At 44.5% G+C, this 20,526-nt stretch overlaps 1 protein-coding gene and 1 pseudogene across 69 annotated transcripts in view, besides 1 other annotated feature; one reads left to right on the top strand and one right to left on the bottom strand.

Moving 5' to 3' along the window:
• Positions 1–20,526, top strand: part of XRRA1 (X-ray radiation resistance associated 1) — a 108,182-nt gene that overhangs the window by 84,747 nt on the left and 2,909 nt on the right. For 11 of the 69 annotated variants that reach the window (XM_047426392.1, XM_011544765.2, XM_047426388.1 and 8 more), the window contains 8 exons: positions 1,324–1,364; positions 5,062–5,187; positions 12,263–12,356; positions 13,142–13,257; positions 15,883–16,230; positions 19,074–19,272; positions 20,062–20,177; positions 20,386–20,491. In XM_047426392.1, coding sequence (XP_047282348.1) covers positions 1,324–1,364; positions 5,062–5,187; positions 12,263–12,356; positions 13,142–13,257; positions 15,883–16,230; positions 19,074–19,272; positions 20,062–20,177; positions 20,386–20,491 — 1,146 coding nt within the window. The remainder of the gene's footprint in view (positions 1–1,323; positions 1,365–5,061; positions 5,188–12,262; positions 12,357–13,141; positions 13,258–15,882; positions 16,231–19,073; positions 19,273–20,061; positions 20,178–20,385; positions 20,492–20,526) is intronic. The other 58 variants (XM_047426401.1, XM_047426399.1, XM_047426393.1 and 55 more) reach the window with 18 other exon arrangements.
• Positions 18,136–18,435, bottom strand: RN7SL239P (RNA, 7SL, cytoplasmic 239, pseudogene; annotated as a pseudogene).
• Positions 19,293–20,492: an enhancer, noted in NCBI's record as "BRD4-independent group 4 enhancer chr11:74554898-74556097 (GRCh37/hg19 assembly coordinates)". NCBI's record gives its function as "activates an origin of replication core promoter dependent on BRD2, P300/CBP, MED14 and CDK7 cofactors, and independent of BRD4, by STARR-seq in HCT116 cells {active_cell/tissue: HCT116}" and the evidence as "EXISTENCE:reporter gene assay evidence [ECO:0000049][PMID:35650434]".

The raw sequence follows: 20,526 nt of genomic DNA, 5'->3' as shown, positions 1-20,526 counted from the left end.
TTTGCATTCTGAGAGTCTCTCCACTCAGTCTTCCATTTTATGAATTAGTTCACCTGGGTCCATTCTTCTATCCAGCACATGTATGAGTTATTTTCATTATAAATTTACAGCTTTGTTAGTAGCTTTGCTTCCACAACAATCTGCTTTTGTTTCAGGAGTGAAACTTTTGAATTTCTCAGAGGATACTAATTATTCTATTTTGAAGTTTTTATAACTTTTGTTAAATAAACTGTTTTTATTCAGGTGATAATTCTTCCCTTTTTTATATTGTTAATTTTCCTCAAATAGTAGGAGATTCTTGATTATTCAGTCTTTTTGTGTAACAATCCTCAATCAGAAGCTTAAAATGCAGTAATTCCTGTGATTGTGGGGAGAGCAGGATGCGCGTTCAGACAGCGTGCCCATCTTTCTAGAGGTGCTGTTGTTTTCTAGGGTTCATTGCTTAGCACTCACACTTGCAACCATGGCCCATCCCCCAGGGAATTCCTACTTTGTTCATTGCACAAAGCTTTCCCAAACTCCCTTGCAGACCCTCATCACAGGAGAAGTTATTTATGCCATGTTGTTCCATCTCCTATTACTGTTTTCTTCATTTTCATGTGACTTGTCTCATTATAATATCATTAACATGTAGAAGGTGTCGGTTAACTAGGGTAAAGGTGAGCAATGTCTGCACAGGATCTAGTCCCAGCAGATGCTATGCTGTGTTAGGTTGAACTCAGCTGTTAGACTCATCTCATTCTGACGGTCCCAAGAATGAAATCACTCTGCAGCCTCCTCCTTATGACTGTGTGCTGGTTGTTCTTGGTATCTCTCCTGAATTCACTGGCTCAACACATTCTGTTTCTACTAATATAAGAAATATTTCCAAATCCTCTGACAGAATGTCTTCTATATACATTTTTCTCTTCTAAGACAGTTGGTTAGCTTTCTGCTCAGTATGGACTCCCCAGTAATTCTGAGGCTCGAAAGTGCTTATGTGCTTTAAAGTCAGATTGAAGGTCAGTCAGTGTGGCTGAAATACAGTGAATGAGGGAGAGTATCATGAAATGAGACTGAAGAAGTAGGCAGGGGCCCAATCATGCAGGACATCAGAGGACTAGATAAGCAGTTTGTATTTTATCCTAAGTGCAAAGGGACTTATTACCTGATGCATGTCACAGCCAGCTCCTCTTCCTAGTTAGCACTGGGGCTGAGGACCAATGAGAACTCCCTCTAGGAGGTGCCCTGCTGCACACAGTGGATGGCAGACCTATATCCTGGGTGCTCTAGGCATCAATCAGCGGTCTCACCAACCTTCATTCTGTTTCTCTTCTGTTTCAGAGGTTGTGTTTTCATCTTACCCTGGATTTTCAACCTCAGAGGTAGGAACTGACTACTTTATATTTGTGTTCCTGAGTTAGAACATTAATTTTAATAGACAAAATCAAATAAAATAATGGAGCCATGAGAGTCATTTCTATAGATCACACTGAGGAAGCCCATTCATTGAATAGGTAGTTGCCAAGTACCTATCATGTACCAGGTCCTGTGCTGGCCAGAGACAGACATGTCTTGACCTTACCTGTACCAGGTCCTGTGCTGGCCACAGACAGACATGTCTTGACCTTACCTGCCTAGTCTAACTTTCATTGTTCTCACATGCTGTTTAGCATAATGTAATAATGGCAGCTGCCTCAAGTGATAAAATTGGCATTGAAGTGGGGCTGCTACCAGCAGCTCCTTAACAAGAGTCCCCCAAAGCTGGAAAAGTCCTTGCCAGATACACCACTATCCAGGACCTAATCGTTGATGTCACAGGCTTAGACCCTTGATTTTCATCAGCACAGAAAATTGTTTTTTCTCTCATGGCAGATGCTCGTGGGGACTGGTACATGTAAACCAAATATTGATTTATTCATTTACAATAAATAGTATATCTCTTCATTTAGCCAACCTGCATCCTTGAGAGGCAGCTCAGTATACAACCTCCCCACAGATAGAACTGTGTGAGAAATTCTATCAGTTAACTATAGCTGCTTACCAAACCAACCCAATAACAATTCATTATTTTTCACCACTCACAATTGAGTCGACGAAGTGATTCCACTGGCTCCACCAAGGCTCACTTATACAGCTGCATTTAGCTGGCAGGGTAGCTGCAGGCTGGGCTCAGGTACACAGCTGGTATGGCTTGGCATCTTCTCTCTTTGTGGTCTTTTCCTCCTGGGCTACATTGCAGTATGGTTTCATTACAGCATCAGGGTTTCAAGAGAGCAAGGGCGAATTAAAAAGTTCTGAAATTGAAATAGTGTCACTTCTCCACATTCTATTGGTCAAAGCAAGTCAAAAGCCCCGTATTATACTGCTGTACTATTCTGACGCTGACCCCTGAGTTTGCGCAGACTCCACAAGTTAAGCACAAAGCCCACAAGTGAGGGTAGTTCCCAAAAAGATTTCCTTCACTTCAGAGGCCAGCCACAAGTTTGGAAGTCCCCAGGCTATCCACACTTTGACCAACTGGTGATAAATTCAAGAGTTTCCACAACCCACTCAGGTTCAGTAATTTTCTAGAACAACTCAAACTCAGGAAAGGGTTATACTTACAATCACAGTTTTACTATAATGCAGCAGTCCCCAACCTTTTCGGCTCCAGGGACCAGTTTTGTGGAAGACAATTTTTCCATGGACTGGGGTGGGGTGGGTGGTTTCGGATGATGAAAGTGCATTACATTTATTATGTACTTTATTTCTGTTATTATTACATTGTAATATATAATGAAATAATTATACAACTCACCACAGTGTAGAATCAGTGGGAGCCTTGAGCTTGTTTTCGTGCAATTAGATGGTCCCATCTTGGGGTGATGGAAGACAGTGACAGATCATCAGGCATTAGATTCTCATAACGAGCACACAACCTAGATCCCTTGCATGCCCAGTTCACAACAGGGTTTGTGCTCCTATGAGAATCTAATGCCACTGCTGATCCGACAGGAGGTGCAGCTCAGGCAGTAATTTGAGCAACGGGGAGTGGCTGTAAATACAGATGATGTTTTTGTTCACTCACCCACTGCTCACTTCCTGCTGTGCGGCCCAGTTCCCAACAAGCCAGGGACTGGCACCGGTTTGTGGCTCGAGGGTTGGGGACCCCAGCTATAAATGACACGAATCAGGACCAGCCAAATGAAAAGGCATATAAGGTGAGGTCTGAGAGCTTTCATGCCCCCTCCCTGTGGAATCAGGGCATGTCTCCCTCCCAGCACATTGATGTGCTCACCAACCAGGAAGCTCACCCACACCTCAGAGTCCAGAGCTTTTATTGGAGGCTCACTGGCCACCTGATTGAACTTAATTTCTAGTTCCTTATCCTCCCCAGGGGTCATGCTGGTGCAAAGCCCCAACTCTCTAGTCACATGGTTAGTCTTTCTGGCATGGCCAGCCTCCATCCTGAGTCATCTCATTATCCTAAACTCAGGTGTGACTCAAGGGGTCCTGCATAACAAAGATATTCCTATCACTCAGAAAATTCCAAGAGTTTTAGAAGCTCAGTGCCAGGAACCTGGGATAAAGACCAGACAAATTTTTTCTTATGTAACAGCCAGTCTAATTTCAGGAGGGTAGACACATGGTCTCCACCTCTGAATGGGAGGAGCAGCAAGGTCACACTGCAAAAGGGCATGTATGTGGGATGGAGGGGCTTGTGACCATTAAACAGTCTACCACACAAGTCAAAGATAATTTGTAGGATTGCTCAGTGCTCAGATCAGCTCTCTGACATCTGAAAATCTAGAAAGTGAGTTGGATAGTTGAGACTTTTAGTGGCCTTACTCTATTAAAATCAGATGCACCTCCCTCCAAGACAGGGCCCTCTCTGCCCCCATCAGGGCCAGTTATGCCCTTGGGTCAGGATACTCCTCATCTTGACTCTCTGGCTTTTCCTTTTCTGTACTGCAGTATGACTTACCCCCTTCAGTTCACACAGCCTTGCTCCAAGTAGGGAATTACATAGTGGAGGATACTGCCTTATCAGACCGCCACCATGTTCCACTCTTGCGTCTCAGAAATTGCCTTGGGATCACTGGGAGAGGCGAGTCATCTGAGTTCCCAAACACAGTCGCTGGTTTTTGTTTTATGCTCACCCATGACTGACCTGTCCACTTGTGTGGTTTTACAAGTTGACCCAGAAGGGTACAAAATACTTGGCTCAAAGTAAGTGCCCCACAAATGTTCACTGAATGAACAAGCAAAATTTAAGTGACTTGCTCAAGATTCCATAGTGATTAATTAATTCAGCTTAAGATGGAATCTAGTTCATCTGAACCTAACCATTAGCCCAGCATCTACCCTTATAATATCCTGTGGTCCCATCGAACTCAGGAATCAGTGAGTGTACTGAGTTATGTATAGTTAAACCAACAATTACCTTTTTCTGCTTGATCAAATATGTTGAACCTGTGGCAGTCTGGGTTGTATGAAAAGAACATGACCCTGCAAGGGATCCAGCTGCAGCATGCCACATTCAGCTCCCACGGGCAGGTTGAAGTCATTTAGGACTGTTGTTTCATCCTCAAATGAAGACCCTCCACTCGAGGATGTGGGCTAGCCCATCAGAGCAGGTGTTCAAGGCTCAAAACACCTCCCTCTCCCTCTCCTCCCTAGAAAAATTCCCCTTAAGAACACAAGCACCTTCCCCTTTGCCTTCTGGAGAAATTTTAGCCCAACTGTGTAGAAGGGCCAATTCAGGGTAAGCTGCTGTAGGGTAGAGGGAGGGGGTGGGGACCAAGTACCTCTGATGTCTGCACCAGTGCTATATTATCCTGTGGCCTCAGAAAACTTGAAAATGGAACTTTGGGTGCTTGAGAATTAGCTCATCATGTAAGCTAATTCTCCTAAGAGAACTTGGAGCCAGAATTCTGGGCTGATGGCGACATCTACCCTTATGACCCTACATGTCTCTTTTGGCCAAGTCTCTCTAGGAAGGTCATTCATTCCACCCTGTTCCATTGAAAGGGTCTGTTGGCCCTTAGTGGCCTTATTTATTATCGGGCACTTTGATTTTGACTTTTCCTTCTTTCTAAGACAACCAAGATATGTTCACTTCCTCCCATATTCGAGATCCTTCCTGTGAAGTCACTGAAGGCCAGGAACCAGACGCTGGCCCCACCCTTCCCAGAGCTGAGATACCTTAGCCTGGCCTACAACAAGGTGACTTTCTGCTCCTCTCCTGTTTACTCAGGGGCACAGATGGGAAGGTGGGATGCAAGTTGCTCTGGCCTAAAAACCAACCCTCCATTCAATTCCCTGCATTACAGGTACATGGGCTCAGGAATTCTCAGGGTGGGGAAAGTGGAAGGAGTTCAGGCCAAGGCAGGAGTCCATCTCTTCAGTCACAGATATTTATTTAGCACTTACCATGTGCCAGGCTCTGTGGTAGGCACTAGATATACAGCTGTGGAAAGAGACTTGGCCTCTCTGCCCTTTTGCAACTTATCACCTATAAGGAAGACAGGAAGACTGATATGGACAAATCATCACAATATGAGCATGCTTAGTGTTATGAAGAAATTCACAGTGTTATGAAGTAAATGATGGAGGGGAGGTGTCTAACCTAATACTTGGGATCAAGGAAGGTTCTCAAGAAAGTGGTGTTTAAGCTGAGATCTGAATCAGTGAGTTTAATCAGGTGAAGAGGGGTGAGTCAAGTGAGGGTAGAAATGTTGTAGCCTAAGGGGAACAGCAGATATAAAGGATAAGGGACAGATTTAACATGTTTTTCCAATGTTCATGTCCTGTTTGGTTTTCTGTAAAATCCCACTAACTGAGCCCTACTCAAGTCTGAAATGCAGGAAACTTGTAAGATACTCTGCTTACATTCCTCTACAGCAAGCAGCTGATACAGCTAAACTCCCCAAGTGTTTTCTTCTAAGAGTTTTATTGTTTCAGCTCTTACATTTAGGTCTTTATTTCAACTTAATCTTTATATATAGTGTGAGACAGGCATCGGCTTCATTCTTTTGCATGTGGATATCCAGCTTTCTCAATACCACTTATTGAAAAGACTATTCTTTCCCCCACTGTTACACCCTTGCCGAAAATCAGTGGACCATAGATGTATCACAGGTCCCTCTTCTTGAAATTGGTAATTTATGTCTTTTATTGATCCAAAATAGTTAGACATTACCTCTTTCATTGACTTTTTCTTATTAAACTAGCTGCTGGTTTCACTGGATTTCTCTGTTTTCCATTTCATTGATTTCTGCTCATAACTTTCTGTTCTTTTACTTAAAATGATTTTAATTTGCTCCTCTTTTTCTCGCATCTTAGGCAGTATAACTTTAGTTAATTGATTTAGACCTTTCTTCTTTCTAATATAAGCATGTAAAGCTTTACATTTCTTCTCCAAGCACTGCTTTAGCTGAGTCCTACAAATTGTAATATATTTTCTTTTTATTTTCATTCGATTAAAATATTTTCACTTTTTCCTGTGATTTCTTCTTTGATCCACAGGTTATTTATAAGTTAGTTAATTTCCAAATATATGGGGGCTCTTCTAGGTGTCTTGTATTTATTTCTAATCTATTTTGTGTGCAGATAACATAATCTGTAAGATGTCATTCTTCTGAAATCTATTTAAACTTGTTTTATGATTCACCCTATGGTCAGTCTGTCTTGGTGAACATTCCATGTGCATTTCAAAAACTATGTATATTCTGCAGTTTTGGGGGAAAGTGTTCTATAAATATTAAGTTAAGGTGGTTGGTTGTGTCACTCAGATCTTCTCTGTACTGTTGTATAGTTGTTCTATCAATCACTGAGAGCAGTGTGTTAAAATCTCCAGACGTGGTTGTGAATTTACTTATTTCTCCCTTTAGTTCTGTCAGCTTTTACTCCATGTATTTTGAAGTCTGCTATTGATGCAGATACATTTATATCTACCAAATGTATGGATACTTTTATAAATTATGAGTTGCCTTTTTTTTTTGCCTCTAATCATATTCCTTGTCTTGATGTCTTATTTTGTTTGCTTCCTTATACTTACTGTTTGCATGGTGTATCTCTTTCTGTCCATTTACTTGCAACCTATTTATATCTTTGTAGTTAAGGTGTGTCTCTTTTAGACAGCATATAGCTGGTTTTTCCTAGGGTGCCAGAGTGTTTTTCTCAGTTTTCCTGCTTTGTCCTCAGCTTTCATCCTTCCCTGAGTGCCTGCACCTCAGAGAAGTTTATCTCCACATGCTTGTTCCTCCCCCTAGCAGTAGACTGCTTTTGCTTGCTACTTAGTGCTTGCTAAGTAGCAAGTGGTGGTAGGTGCCAAAAGGAGGCTCTAGCCCCAGTCTTAGGCAGCCCTGGGACCAACCCTGTGTCTCAAGGATAGGCTTTTCTCAGTGGTCCTACCCCTCTCCCAGCAGTAGGAGACCTCTAATGTGCTAGGCCCAGGTTGGTTTCCTGCTCCAACCACAGGAGTAGTGGGTTTTAATTTTTTCCCTACCCAAGATGCAGTGCCCCAAGCTGACAGGGTTTGCTGATCTTCCTCAGCAACTGAAGGCTTTCGTTAACTATGGAGAAGGGTTGGTAAGGCCCCCTGCCTTTTTGTGGTGGGAGCTATCTCCTCTTCCAGGCTCACACCACTGAGGAAGGCTGTCATCAATCTCTCTCCTGCCTCCAGTCTTTCTCACACTAGTGAGTGTGAACTCCCTGGATGTCTGCAGCTTAAAGGGGTTTACTCTAGGCCACGCTTGGTCTTTATAAATTCACTAAAATTTTTACCTGATTTCTTCTTAAGTGCTTGTGTGGCACTTGCATCTGCCACATTCTGCCACAGGCAGGCCAGTGTCTGTGTCCCATCTCTCCTTGGAGGTGCCAGTATTTCCTTAGATTTCAGGCCGCATGATTGTCCTGGGATGTTAGCTCTCTATTGGACTCAAGAAAAGTTATGATTTTATAGATTATTCAGTAGTTTTCTTAAGGTTGGAGCAGCACTCTTTCCATTTTTCTATGTTTGCACCTGAGTTTTTAAATGGTATTTTACTTTATGATAGTTACCACCTAACATATTATATCTTTTTGTCTATTGTCACATATCTATTACCAGAATGTGCTTTTGTTTTTTAGCACTAGGACTTTGTTTTGCTTACATCTTATATGCTCATTATCTAGAATATTACCTGATACATGATAGGTGCTCAATAAGTTTGTTAGATGAATGAATGATTTTTGTTGTTGTTGTTGTTCAGATGGAGTTTCGCTCTGTAGCCCAGGCCGGAGTGCAGTGGTGCGATCTTGGCTCACTGCAGCCTCCACCTCCCGGGTTCAAGCAATTCTCCTGCCTCAGCCTCCCAAGTAGCTGGAATTACAGGCACCCGCTACCACGCCTGGCTAATTTTTGTTTTTTATCAGAGACAGGGTTTCACCATATTGGCCAGGCTGGTCTTGAACTCCTGACCTCGTGATCCACCTGCCTCAGCTTCCCAAAGTGCTAGGATTACAGGCGTGAGCCACCACACCCGACCCCATGAATGATGTTTTAATCATGTCAAATAATACAGCTGTGTTGAAATTAATATTCAATTTATTAAAGTTACAAACTTCAAAATAAATTCTGCCTTTAAACAGAACTTATACATCTAGAATATTCATCAGAAAATTACTCAGAATATTCACTAGAAATTGTTGTGTCAAAAGTAAAATAATCACTTTCACTTGGTCTTTAATACTTAGTTCCTAAATGTGACAGATTGTTACACTCTCCTTAATCCAATGAGATTGAGAAGAAATTTAAAGTTATCATTGGAACCTGAATGCATCTCCAGAACATTCAGCTCACCCGAGAGAGAACAGGCTAGCCCCATGGCCAGATTTCCGCTTGCTGTGTCAGCCAGAATCCTAAGCCCATACCTTTCAGCTGGGCTTAATTTCACAGAAAATACCACACACATGACCTGAGTATCATTCAATTTTTTTATCAATTCTTAATTGTAATTTTCTTCAACTTTTTAATCACCTGGTTCGGGTGAATGTAATTTTGCATCCTGACAAGATTAAATTCTGCATCTCCCATTCTTTAGTGATTGTCTCTTGACCCCTTGATTTGCACACACAAGACTCTACACCCACTTTGACCACCATTATAGTCATTTATCAAAACATATTGGGCACCTTTTTAGGTTCATCCTCTATCTCTGAAGTCTAGATAATGGCAGCAGAATTTTATATTTTACTCTGTTGCAACTACTTAACTCTGCCCTTGTGGGACAAAAGGCAATATGGCAACAAATGAGAAAGGTAGTATTTTTTTTCTTTTTTCTTTTTTTTTGAGACAGAGTCTCACTCTGTTGCCCAGGCTGGAGTGCAGTGGCATGATCTTGGCTCACTGCAATCTCCACCTCCTGGGTTCAAGTGATTCTTCTGCCTCAGCCTCCCGAGGAGCTGGGATTACAGGCACCCGCCAGCACACTCAGCTGATTTTTGTGGGGTTTTGTTGTTGTTGTTGTTTTGTATTTTTTTTTTAGTAGAGACGGGGTTTCACCCTATTGGCCAGGCTGGTCTCAAACTCCTGACCTTGTGATCCACTTGCCTCGGCCTCCCAAAGTGTTGGGATTATAGGCCTGAGCCACCGCGCCCAGCCAGAGAAAGGTAGTATTCTACTGAAACTTTAGTAAATGGATCATGGGCCAGATTTGGGCCATGGGCCCAATCCTGGTTTTGGTATAGCCTGTTTGCTAAGAGTGGTGTTTACATTTTTTAATGATTGAAAAAAATCAAAACAAGGATAAAATTTCATGACATGTTAAAATTATATGAAATTCAGATTTCAGGGTCCATAAATAAAATTGTATTGGAAAAAAGCCACCATACCTATTTATGAATTGTCTATGGCTGATTTTGTACAACAATAGTAAAATTGAATAGCTGCAACAGAAACCATATGGTCTGCAAAGCCTAAAACACTTATTATATGGTCTTTGACAGAAAAGGTTTGCTGATCCCCTGGTCTAGAAGATCAAATGTTAAAGTCCCTCAAGGCCTACTCCTAGTTTCTTTCCTCTCACTCCCTACTGTCTCCCTAGGGATGACTTCAGATAGCCACTGGCCCATGAACAGTGACTCAAAAATTTCTAACTCTAATGCAGACCTCTCCTCTGTATTCCAGACCAGTGTATCCAACTGCCTATTTGACATTTCTACCTGGAGGCCTCAAAAGTACCGCCAACATACACATACCCAAAGCAAATTGATAAATTTTTTCTTCAAATTGTATGTTCTTTCATTGTTCCCTTAGTGAATAGCTTCATCTTCCATCCAGTTACTCAAGGCAAAAACCAGCTGTCACCTTTGATACTTCTCTCTCTTGTACCTCCCCATCCTCCGCCCCCCCAGTATCTACATCATCACCAAGTCTTGTCAAATTTAGGTCCTCATATTTCTAAAATCCATCTAATGAGTTCCCCAAGGACCCAAATCTTAAACCACCTTTTGTTTGGCCCCTACTTGCATTTCCAGCCCCATTTTGCACCAGGTGCCCTCTTTCTCTCTGCTTTTAGTCACACTAGCCTTCTTTAAACTCTTCCAGCAGGCTATGAGGCCTTTCACACATTTTTCTCTTTGTATAGGACACTTCCTCTCTGCATTAAAGTAAGACTAGCTACTGCAACAAACTTAAACATCTTAATCACTTAACACAATAAAAGTGTATTTCTTGCTTTTACAAAGTCCATCTTGGATATTCCTGGTTGGCAGGTGGCCTTCCACATGATCATTCAGAGACCCAGATGCCCTCTGGCTATGTTCTGTCATCTCATAGGGTCTTAACACTACTCAACTGGATCCTATGTATCCTGTTAGATGGTCAAGCAGGGGGACTGTGGTAAAGGGAAGAAAGTAGAAGAGGTACAGGAGGGTGCAGACTGTGCATAGAAGTAGCATTTACCACTTCTGCCCAAGTTGCGTTGGCTGGAACTGGGTCATGTGACCACATGTAGCTGCCTGGGAGGCTAGGAGATAAAATCCGTGTGCTAGAGGTAGAGAAATGGTTTTGGTTAATACAGAGGTTTCTCTACCACACACTCCATGCCTCACTGCGTTCGCTAATTACCTCCTCCTCCTCCTTCAGACCTCAGAGACACCTTTTACCTCTCTGACTAGGTCACATGACCCTGGTACTTCATGCACCTCTCTTGTGACACTTATCACATTGTAAATCTATTCTCCTGTGTTACTGTTTCTCCAATGCTTGTTTCCCACTAGACAGTGCTCTCTGAGGGCAGAAATTGTGTCTGTTTTGCTCATTCCTAACAAAGTGCCTGGGACATGGTAGGTATTCAGTAAATATTTGTTGGTTGAATGAATAAAAATGAAAGAAGTTAGTGGAAATCTAGTGCTATCCAGTAAGGCTGCGGAGGAAGCTAAACTGAAGTGCCCTCCCTCTTCCAGCCCTTGGACTTCAGTACCTTCATTGGGTCCTACATCTGACCCAATACCTTTCAGTGTGTCCAGGGGTCTGATCGGCCACTGCCTGACTCCTGACCCCTTCGATCCTGATGTCCCTGATACTCTTCCATTGCAAATAAATACTCTCGCCAAGATGGTCCAGCTTTTCCAGGCAGTCTGCTCAACAAAGCTTGTATATTTTTTGCCCTTCAGAGGCTGGCTTGGCCAATAAGCCACCGATTGCAGGCTGGCTTCACAGGGCATTCTCTGTGTCCCAGACAGCCATGAGGTCTCTCTTAACACTGGCTCTACTTATCCCTTAGATGTGTGGGTCCTCCTTTCCCCCTGTCCATCCCCAAATAAGTGCCCAGGACTGGCCTCAGTGAAAGAGCCATCAGAAGTGTGTAGAGGTTTGTGCTGAGGAAGATGAAGTGTCAAATTGTATCCTGAAGTTAAAGTCAATGCCCTGCCAACCTTCCAGAATCTTTATGAGATAAAGAGTTTGTTCGTACGAAAAATGTGTTTGTTCTTATTATTTTGCCACCAGCTTCCCTAGTATTTGATGTAGGCTACATATCCAGCATGGAAAAAAGAGGAAAAACTCTTAGCTCTTAAACACGCAACAGTGATGGTGGAATTTCAGACAGGAGGGGCAAGGTACTCTGTGCATGAGTAGGTATTATTACAGGGTCAAGGCATCACCCAGCAGTGAGTCCCATCCACAGCAGCATGTCTTACCCAATACCACCCCCAATCCTAGCAAGCATGTAGCCCTGCAGTGAGGGGCCTAGACATACCTGGGTAGAGGTGAGGGGTGGTGTCAACCTGAGAGTCTCTCCTGCATTCATTACAGATCGCAAAAGAGGATGCTGTCCTACCAGTAGCTCTCTTCCCATCTCTCTGCGAGTTCGTCTTTCATAACAACCCTCTGGTGGCCCATACACGAGGTATAGTGCCCGCAAACCTGCCCCCTCTCAACCCAGTGCCCAAGGAGCAGTGTGGCACCCTCATCCCCACCTCATCAATGCCAAGCCCTGGGATCTACTCTGTGTCGGGGTGGACAAGGTTCATGGTACATTGAGGAATGGAGGAAATAGCTCTGTACCAGCGCTTCCTGACAGTAACCCTGTGAGCAGGCATTATTGTCCCCACGGACAGTGGTAGAAACTGAGGCTCAGGGAGGTTCATGATCTGCCCAAGGTCACACAGCAAGAAAGAGTCTGAGTTGGGAATGGAATATGGAATTCTTTAAATCCTGTATGAGCTCTTTTGAACCACACCCTGCTTTGTGGAACAGTTCTGTCATGACCTCATTTCCCAATTCCCAGTTGCAGAGGGGTGCAGCCCCAACTGCAGGAGCCTCTCTTCCCAGAGCACACTGAATGGAGTGGTCAGCAGTGGAGCCACTGTGTAAGATACAGGAGTTGGAGGCATTTTAGAGTCCTGGGCCCTGGAGTGACACCAGTGAAGTTCTGATCATCACTCCACACTATCTTTATTATCTTGGACAAATTCCTTAGCCTCTCTGTGCCTCAGTTTCCTTGCCTATTGAATGGGAATAATGGTAGGAGGTAGGAATTCTCCTAGGAGGTAGGAATTCTCGACCTACCTCCTAGGGTTGAGAATAAGTTTCAGTAATACATGTAAAGCAATTTGAATAGTGCCTGGCACATAGTAAGCCCCAGTATAAATTTTAGCTAATAGTAATCTTATTTTCCCATCATGGCACCAGGGGTCCCTCCACTGCTGAAGAGCTTCCTCCAGGAGCGACTGGGAATCCACTTAATTCGAAGGAAGATAGTAAAGCCTAAGCATCATGTTTTGATGTCTCGGAAGGAATCATGGAAGGTAGGGCTTCCAAGGCAGGACTCCCACCCCCAGGAAGAGTGCAGCCTATTATAATGTATGCAAACCAACCTGGCTGTAGAGCTGCTCACTCCACAGTGCCTGGAATCTCTCCATTAGGTTCAGCATTGCCTTCTCCTTTCCTTGCTTTGGGAAGAGCACTGGATGAAACAACAGATATGAAAATATATTTTAAACTCCTAAAACTCTTACCATTGAAAGTTATAGTCACCTACAGTAATTGAGAATGGCTATGGGCCAGGCGTGGTGGCTCACGCCTCTAATCCCAGCACTTTGGAGGCCAAGGCGAGAGGATCGCTTGAGGGCAGGAGTTTGAGACCAGCCTGGGTGAGACCTTGTCTCTACAAAAACAAAACAAAACAAAAAAAAGAATAGCTAAGGCAGGACCAGAATACATCTCCTGCCTGAATCTTAAGGAAGTGTTTCCTTATGTTGAGAGAAGTCTGCTTCCTTTGCCATAAAGTAAGTGAAATCCCTCTTTCATCTGAAGAATTTCAAAAATTTCTGTGAAATGCTCCTCCCTCCTGAACTTTAGTCTTTCTACAGCCAAAAGGTGGGCTGAGCATTGCTGATCCCAAAAGTTAAATACAGATGTTTCCTTGCCACCCCCTCTGCAGCCCGCCTCTGTCCAGCCAGGCTCTTGTCTGACGTCCTCAGAGGACTGGACAAGCATTTGAAGTCAGAAATAGAAATTCCAAGGTTTCCATCATCTTCCTCCTTGTCTGTTACCTCCTCTTAAGGATCTGCCCCATCATTTCCCATCAGCCAGCCAGGGAGGGGCAGAATCCTCTCTCCTTTACAGAGCCCCATGCCCAGGACTCTGCAGAGCTCTTACGTGTATGCTATCCCATAATCCTCACAGTAGATGAAGCAACAGACTCAGAGAGGTGAACTGACTTGTTAAAAGTTAGTGTGGGTCCTAGGGGACCCCTCACACCTCCTCCCATCAAAGGTTCTGACTAACCTTTGAGCTAAATGAGTTAAATAAACACAGATGCCAGTGGCCAAATGAGAAACAAATCAATGCTTTGTTAATGTAGGCAAACACCCTCTATTCTGGACTGAAGAACGTGACTTAGTCCTGAGTCAGACTGGGGATGCCTGCATGTCCTCATTGTGCATACAGAGATGGGGCTAGAAATGCAGATTAGACCCCTGGGGTTACATGGACAAAGGCTGCAGTCCCTCCCCTCACACCTAGGCATGGACAGACAGGAGGAAAATGGAGAACCTGCCAGAGCAGGCCTGTAACCAAGAAGCTGTGTGAGCCCTTTGATGTGAGGACACAAATGGAAGATAAAATAGCCTGGTCTCATTGATGAGCAGTAATCCAGCCCACGACTGAAGCAGGGCCCAGTGACTCAACCTCTGGCCAGTTAGGTTACCCATTCCTCCCTTGGGAGGGGGCGGGGAAAGTAGCGGTGGGATAGAGAAAGAGCATTTCCTCTAGCACATCTCTCTCACAGAGCCATGAGAGGGAAGGGGAACTGTCCCTTCCCGCCAGCTGCCAAGTGATGGCGCTTGGTGTTTTAGATGCTGAGGTGCGGTGCTGTGTCCGTGCCCTGTGCCTTGTGGCATGGATTCAGACAAAGACTCTGGGTCCCTCAGAGTCTAAACACTGAGGTTCCACATATTTTCCAAAAGGAAATACATTTTTTTAAAGTAACATATTTTATAAAAGTCATCCTTCGCCCTCCTTAGTCCATTAGGTACATTTGCACACACCATTTCATTGGGTGGAACTCTGTGAGACAGGCACAAGGAGGAAATAGGTGCTCAAAGGATAGACCTGTATTCTAGCCCACATTTTTCTAACTACAGTGCTTGCAATCTTTCCACTACACAACTTACATCTCTCAGTAAAAGTACAGATATAAGTGAACCAAATACCTCTGACAAAGAGTGAAAACAATCCACTATGTAAAGGGGGAGAAAGAAAGGACTAAACCCAGCTGAGGGCACATGGACACCTCCTGGCAGCTGAGGCTGAGGAGGAGAGGGAGAATGGTCACAGGCTTTTACTAATTAAGGGAATTATTTTCTTGGTCCTGAATCTTTCAGAGAGATCTATCTTTAGGATCTTTATATAAGGTATAGGGAACAGCATCCTGAAAGGGGCCTGGTGCTGTCATCTTCCAGAAAATACAGGACCATTCCCCAACACCCTCTCCTCGGAGTCCCTGGGGAAAGCCATAGGCACCATGTTCAACCCTCATCTGAAGAATGAGACTACTGAGGGCCAGAGTACGTATGGTCAGGGATGCAGCATGAAGCCTGGAGCCCAGGACTGGAATTACATCGTCCAGGCACTACCGCCAAATCACTCTGGGACTTGGACAGGTCATTTTACCTCTCTAAGCCCCTGTTTCCTCATCTATAAAATTGGGGATAATTATTCATTGGGTAGTTTCAAGGTAGAAATAAAACAACTTACATCATGCATGGGGCACATCATAGATGCCCAACAAGTATGATTTCCCTTTCCACCCCCGCCTCAGTCCGTACCCAGCACTCCGGCTGCTATACAAGTGGCCTTAGGCTAGTGAGGCCCAGGAGGAGAGAATCCTAATTAGGAAGCAAATTCATTCTGGCCCTTCTCCATGACAGGTGAAAAGCGAAATCCCAAAGGTGCCGAAGCAGCCTCTGGTGCTCCATCACCCGCGCATGACGACAACCAAGTCTCCCTCAAAGGATATGCTAGAGCCAGAGGCAGAGCTGGCTGAAGATCTGCCCACTACCAAAAGCACTTCTGTGGAGTCAGAGATGCCCACTGAGAACCTGGAAGGCCATTCCCCGTCTTGCCGGACCTTCGTGCCACTGCCTCCCATCTGCTCCAACTCCACTGTGCATAGTGAAGAGACCCTGTCCCACCTGAGTGACACAACTGTCCGCCTCAGCCCAGAGCGCCCATCAGATGAGGACTCCAAGAGCACAGAGTCCATCTTCCTGACCCAGGTACCTGTATCCAGCTGCCCCTGCCCACTTGTTGCTAGCTCCCACAGGTTCCTGTGCAGCCCTTAGGCTCGATTGCTGTGGACAGCTGGGAGCAACAAGCACATGGCAGGTCTGGAAACAAGAAGTCAGCACCCTTGGTGGAGCTTGCAAGCCTCTTCTGGGAGATCTCTGGTCTGAGGACACTGATAGGGATACCTGATAGGGACACCCATGGGGATAAGTCATGGTTCTGTGGCACAGTCAAGATCTGGGGTCTGACTGGGGTGTGATTCCAACTAGTTTTTCAGAGGGGTTTGCTGCTGCCTGTACCTCTCTGCTTCAGGTCTCCTCACTTTTGATGCTGCCTCTGGATCCTGGGAACATAGATCAGATGCAGGTCGTGCCCTTAAGGTGCTCTCAGTATAATGGGGAACATAGACAGGAACAGCTTATGCAATCAGTGCTGAGACTGAGGGAATCCCAGAGGCTGGGAGTCTGGAGGAAGGAGAGATGCCTCTGCCCCAGCCCAGGAGGGCTTCCTGGAAGAGGCTCAACTGAGCTGAGATTTACAGGCTGAGTAGGAATTAAAAAGGTGAAGATATAGCAGCAAGGGCATTCTGGACAGAGGAAACAGCATGAAACAGGATAGAGGAAGGAAATTAAAATGGTACATGCAGAAACCACAAATGTTTAGTGTCAGTGCAGCAGAAGGGTGGCATGTGGCAAAGGGTAATATAAGGCTAGAAGAGTTGGCAGGGCCCCCTTGAACTTTATTACTGTACCATCCCTCTCCCTGATCTCCCTGCCTCTAGTCTTGCCCCTCCAGTCTGCTCACTGCCAGATCTTTCCAGGATGTACATCTATCCATTCATGGAGGTCTAACTCTCCATCTATTTCTTTTTCCACAGATGACTTATAGTGACATATAAATTTATACAGTATAAAAGTATCTTAAAGAAATATCTCAGAACCTTTTTGGAGCAATGCAGAATATAAATAAGCATTTTAAAAGAAACAATTTGAGAGAGTTAGATGAAAAGAAAATACGGACAGGAAAGGAAATAGTACAAGGGTAATTCTGTCACTCAAACATGCACATCATGCACTGCTGCTATTATAATAAAGGTGTTTTGACAAAATGCAGTTCTGAGCTCCTAGCGGCCAAAGCAATACAATCAATTATGAGTCACCATGTTTTCAGAAAAAAAAAAAAAAATCTTTTTTTTTCTGGCCTAATTGTCCTGGCTATAACCTTTAATACAATGATGAACAGAAGTGGTGAGAGCAGACTTCCTTGTCTTGTGCCTGTTCTTAAGGGGAAAGCATTCAGTCTTTCACCATTAATTATGATATTAGGTGAGGGTTTTCCATAGATGATCTTTATCTGGTTGAGGAAGTTACTTTCTATTCCTAGTTTGAGTGTTTTTTAATCATGACAGAGTGGGCTTTTCCTATGTCTACTGAGATGATCATATGGTTTTGATATATTATATTAATTGATTTCCAGATGTTAAACCAACCTTTCATTCCTAGGATAAATCTCACTTGGTCATAGTATATAATCCCTTTTACTTGTTGAATTCAGTTTGCTAATATTTTTTGAGAATGTTTGCATTTATATTCATAAGTGATACTGCTTTGTATTTTTCCTTTCTTGTGATGTCTTTCTCTAGTTTGGATTTCAGGGTAATACTAACCTCAGAGAATAAGCCTCTTTTAATTTTTGGAAGAGTTTGTGAAGTATTGGTGTTAATTCTTTTTTAAATGTTTGGTAGCATTCACCAGTGAAACCATCTGGTCCTTGGCTTTTCTTTGTGGGAAGTTTAAAAATTGCTAATTCAGCTTTTTTGCTTGTTATAGGTCATATATATGTACACACATACGTGTGTATATATAATATATATTCACAAATACACACACGTATATACATGGTGGGGTCTCACTATGTTGCCCAGGCTGTAGTGCAATGGCTGTTCACAGGCACCATCCCACTACTGATCAGGATGCGAGTTTTGACCTGCTCCATTTTCTACCTAGGCAAGTTCATCTCTCCTTAGGCAACCTGGTGGTCTCCCACTCCTGGGAGGTCACCATATTGATGCCAAACATACTGTGGACACTCGAGGAGCATAATGCACTACAGCCTAGAGCTCCCGAGCTCAAGCAGTCCTCCCATCTCAGCCTCCTGAGTAGCTAGGACTACAGGCATGTGCCACCCCACCTGGTGAGTAATTTTAATAAATAAATACATCCCTACATGACATACAGATTTCTTATAAAGCCATTAGGATAGGCTAAAATCCTCCATGGTTTGCCATCAGAGTGAGCATAAAGAAAATACAAAATAAAACGCACCCTCAGCTTGGCATATAATGGTCCTTACCGATCCGGGTCCTGCTTACCACTGCAGTTGCCTATCTCTTCACTTTGTACTTAACTGTACCAATCTTTAGTTCCCCGAAAATGCACCTTGATGTTTCTTACCTCTGCGCCTTTGCTCGTGCTGTTCCTTGTCTGAAACAATCATTCTTTCTCATCACTTGCAGTCCACACCTCTCCCCATTGCTCCGTAGGGATGGCTCTCCTGGCTCTTCAAGACTTAGCTCAGGCTAAGGCATTCCTCCAAGGGAGCTTCTTGGCTAGGTTGGGGCTTCCTCTGGGATCACCCAAAACCACTGTATTCCCTCTGTTAAAGCATTTATCAATTGTCTATTTTTATATCTGCTTTCTTCCATCCCAGTCTTGGTCTTACCCTTGCCCTTAACAGGGCCCAGCAGAGACCAGCACAGAGATGATACTCCGAATGTTCATGGAATGAATGAATGAATGAGTGACAAATGAATGCGTTTTCTTCCTGGGCACAGGTGAGTGAACTGCCTTCCTCCGTCATCCATAAGGATGATTTAGAGTTAAAGGAGAAAGACCAAAAGAAACCACCAACGGCACCCAGAGAGGTGAAAGGGACTCGGAGGAAACTCCCAACTGCCTTCCTTCCCAGCAAGTACCACGGCTATGAAGAACTGCTGACAGCCAAGCCTGATCCAGCCTTCATTGAGCCAAAGGGTATGTGAGGGCATATCCTTGCTCTAGGGCAAGAGGCCATCTCCACAGCTCAGAGCAAGTCAGGGTCAAGCCAAGGCTGGCACCAAGCTGTCTTTTCCCAACTAGGGTGCTGTCCTCTGTCTAAATACCTGTCAAAGGGCTCCTTTTAGGGTGTCCTTTGTTTGAAGCCCCACATATTGGGACCCCTGTCCTGGCCTAGGCCTTCACTGGCTTATGGGGAGCCACAGTTTATTCAGAGATTCTAGTTGGTCTCAGCCTAGCTGCTCTGGATGATAAAGTCTCTCCTCAGGAAAAGTGTGATGAATGAACACCCAGAATGGCCAGATTCTTGAGCTTTTCCCAGCCCAGGTTAAGTTCCCAAACTGAACGTCCAAAATCGTTCCTATCTGGTTGGAGGCAAAGGAGGCAGCTTCATCTCTGTGTTAATCAGTACTTCCAAAGCAACTGGCATTCAGCTGGGCTGTTCTGGGTGTTAGCCCCTGCGATATAACCCCCTGAGGTTAATGGGGTCACATTGGAGCCAGCCTTTTCCCCCACTCCAATACTATTTACCCATTACAATCTGTGCTATTTTTCCATTATAATATGGGACAAATACTCACTGAAGAATGATGGAACTTCAGGCACTGGAACAGATCCGGAAGAAACCTGGGGGCAGTGTTTTCTTTTGGGGACTCTCAAATCCTTTTACCTAGAGCTGCTGTGAGACTGAGGAATGAAGCAATCAGGGGAGGCATCTGGGAGGAGGAGGGGGAAGTGCCTTGACTCAGTCTTGCCTTCTTGCCCTAGGAATCCAGAAGAATGCACAAGCCCTGCAACAAATGCTGAAGCACCCACTCCTGTGCCACTCCTCCAAGCCCAAGCTGGACACTCTTCAGAAACCCTATGTTCACAAAGAGAAACGGGTAAACATCCAGCTCACTGAATGTGTAAATGGCCCCTGAGTACCGCCCACAATTACAGATGTGGCTGTCACCTTGGGACCCTCTGAGGGCCATGCTTTCCCAGCACCCCCAGATGCCCCCCAGCCTGTTGCTGTGACTGTATGAAGTTAGGCCAGGGAAGTCTGTGCATAAACCTGGGATAACACCCTCCTCCATGACCTTCTGCCAGGCCCAGAGAATCCCGATTCCACCCCCAAAGAAGACTAGAGCCCAACTTCTGGATGACATCTTCATTCGCTTGCGGGATCCCCGGAACATTACAGAGGCTCCACTAGGTACGGCTCTGCCACAGCTGCCAGGATCCCAGATC

This window comes from Homo sapiens, chromosome 11 (genome assembly GCF_000001405.40).
Source record: "Homo sapiens chromosome 11, GRCh38.p14 Primary Assembly".
NCBI classification, from domain to species: Eukaryota; Metazoa; Chordata; class Mammalia; order Primates; family Hominidae; genus Homo; species Homo sapiens.
The sequence above is the reverse complement of the archived record's forward strand: the minus strand, read 5'-3'. Positions and strand labels throughout refer to the sequence as shown.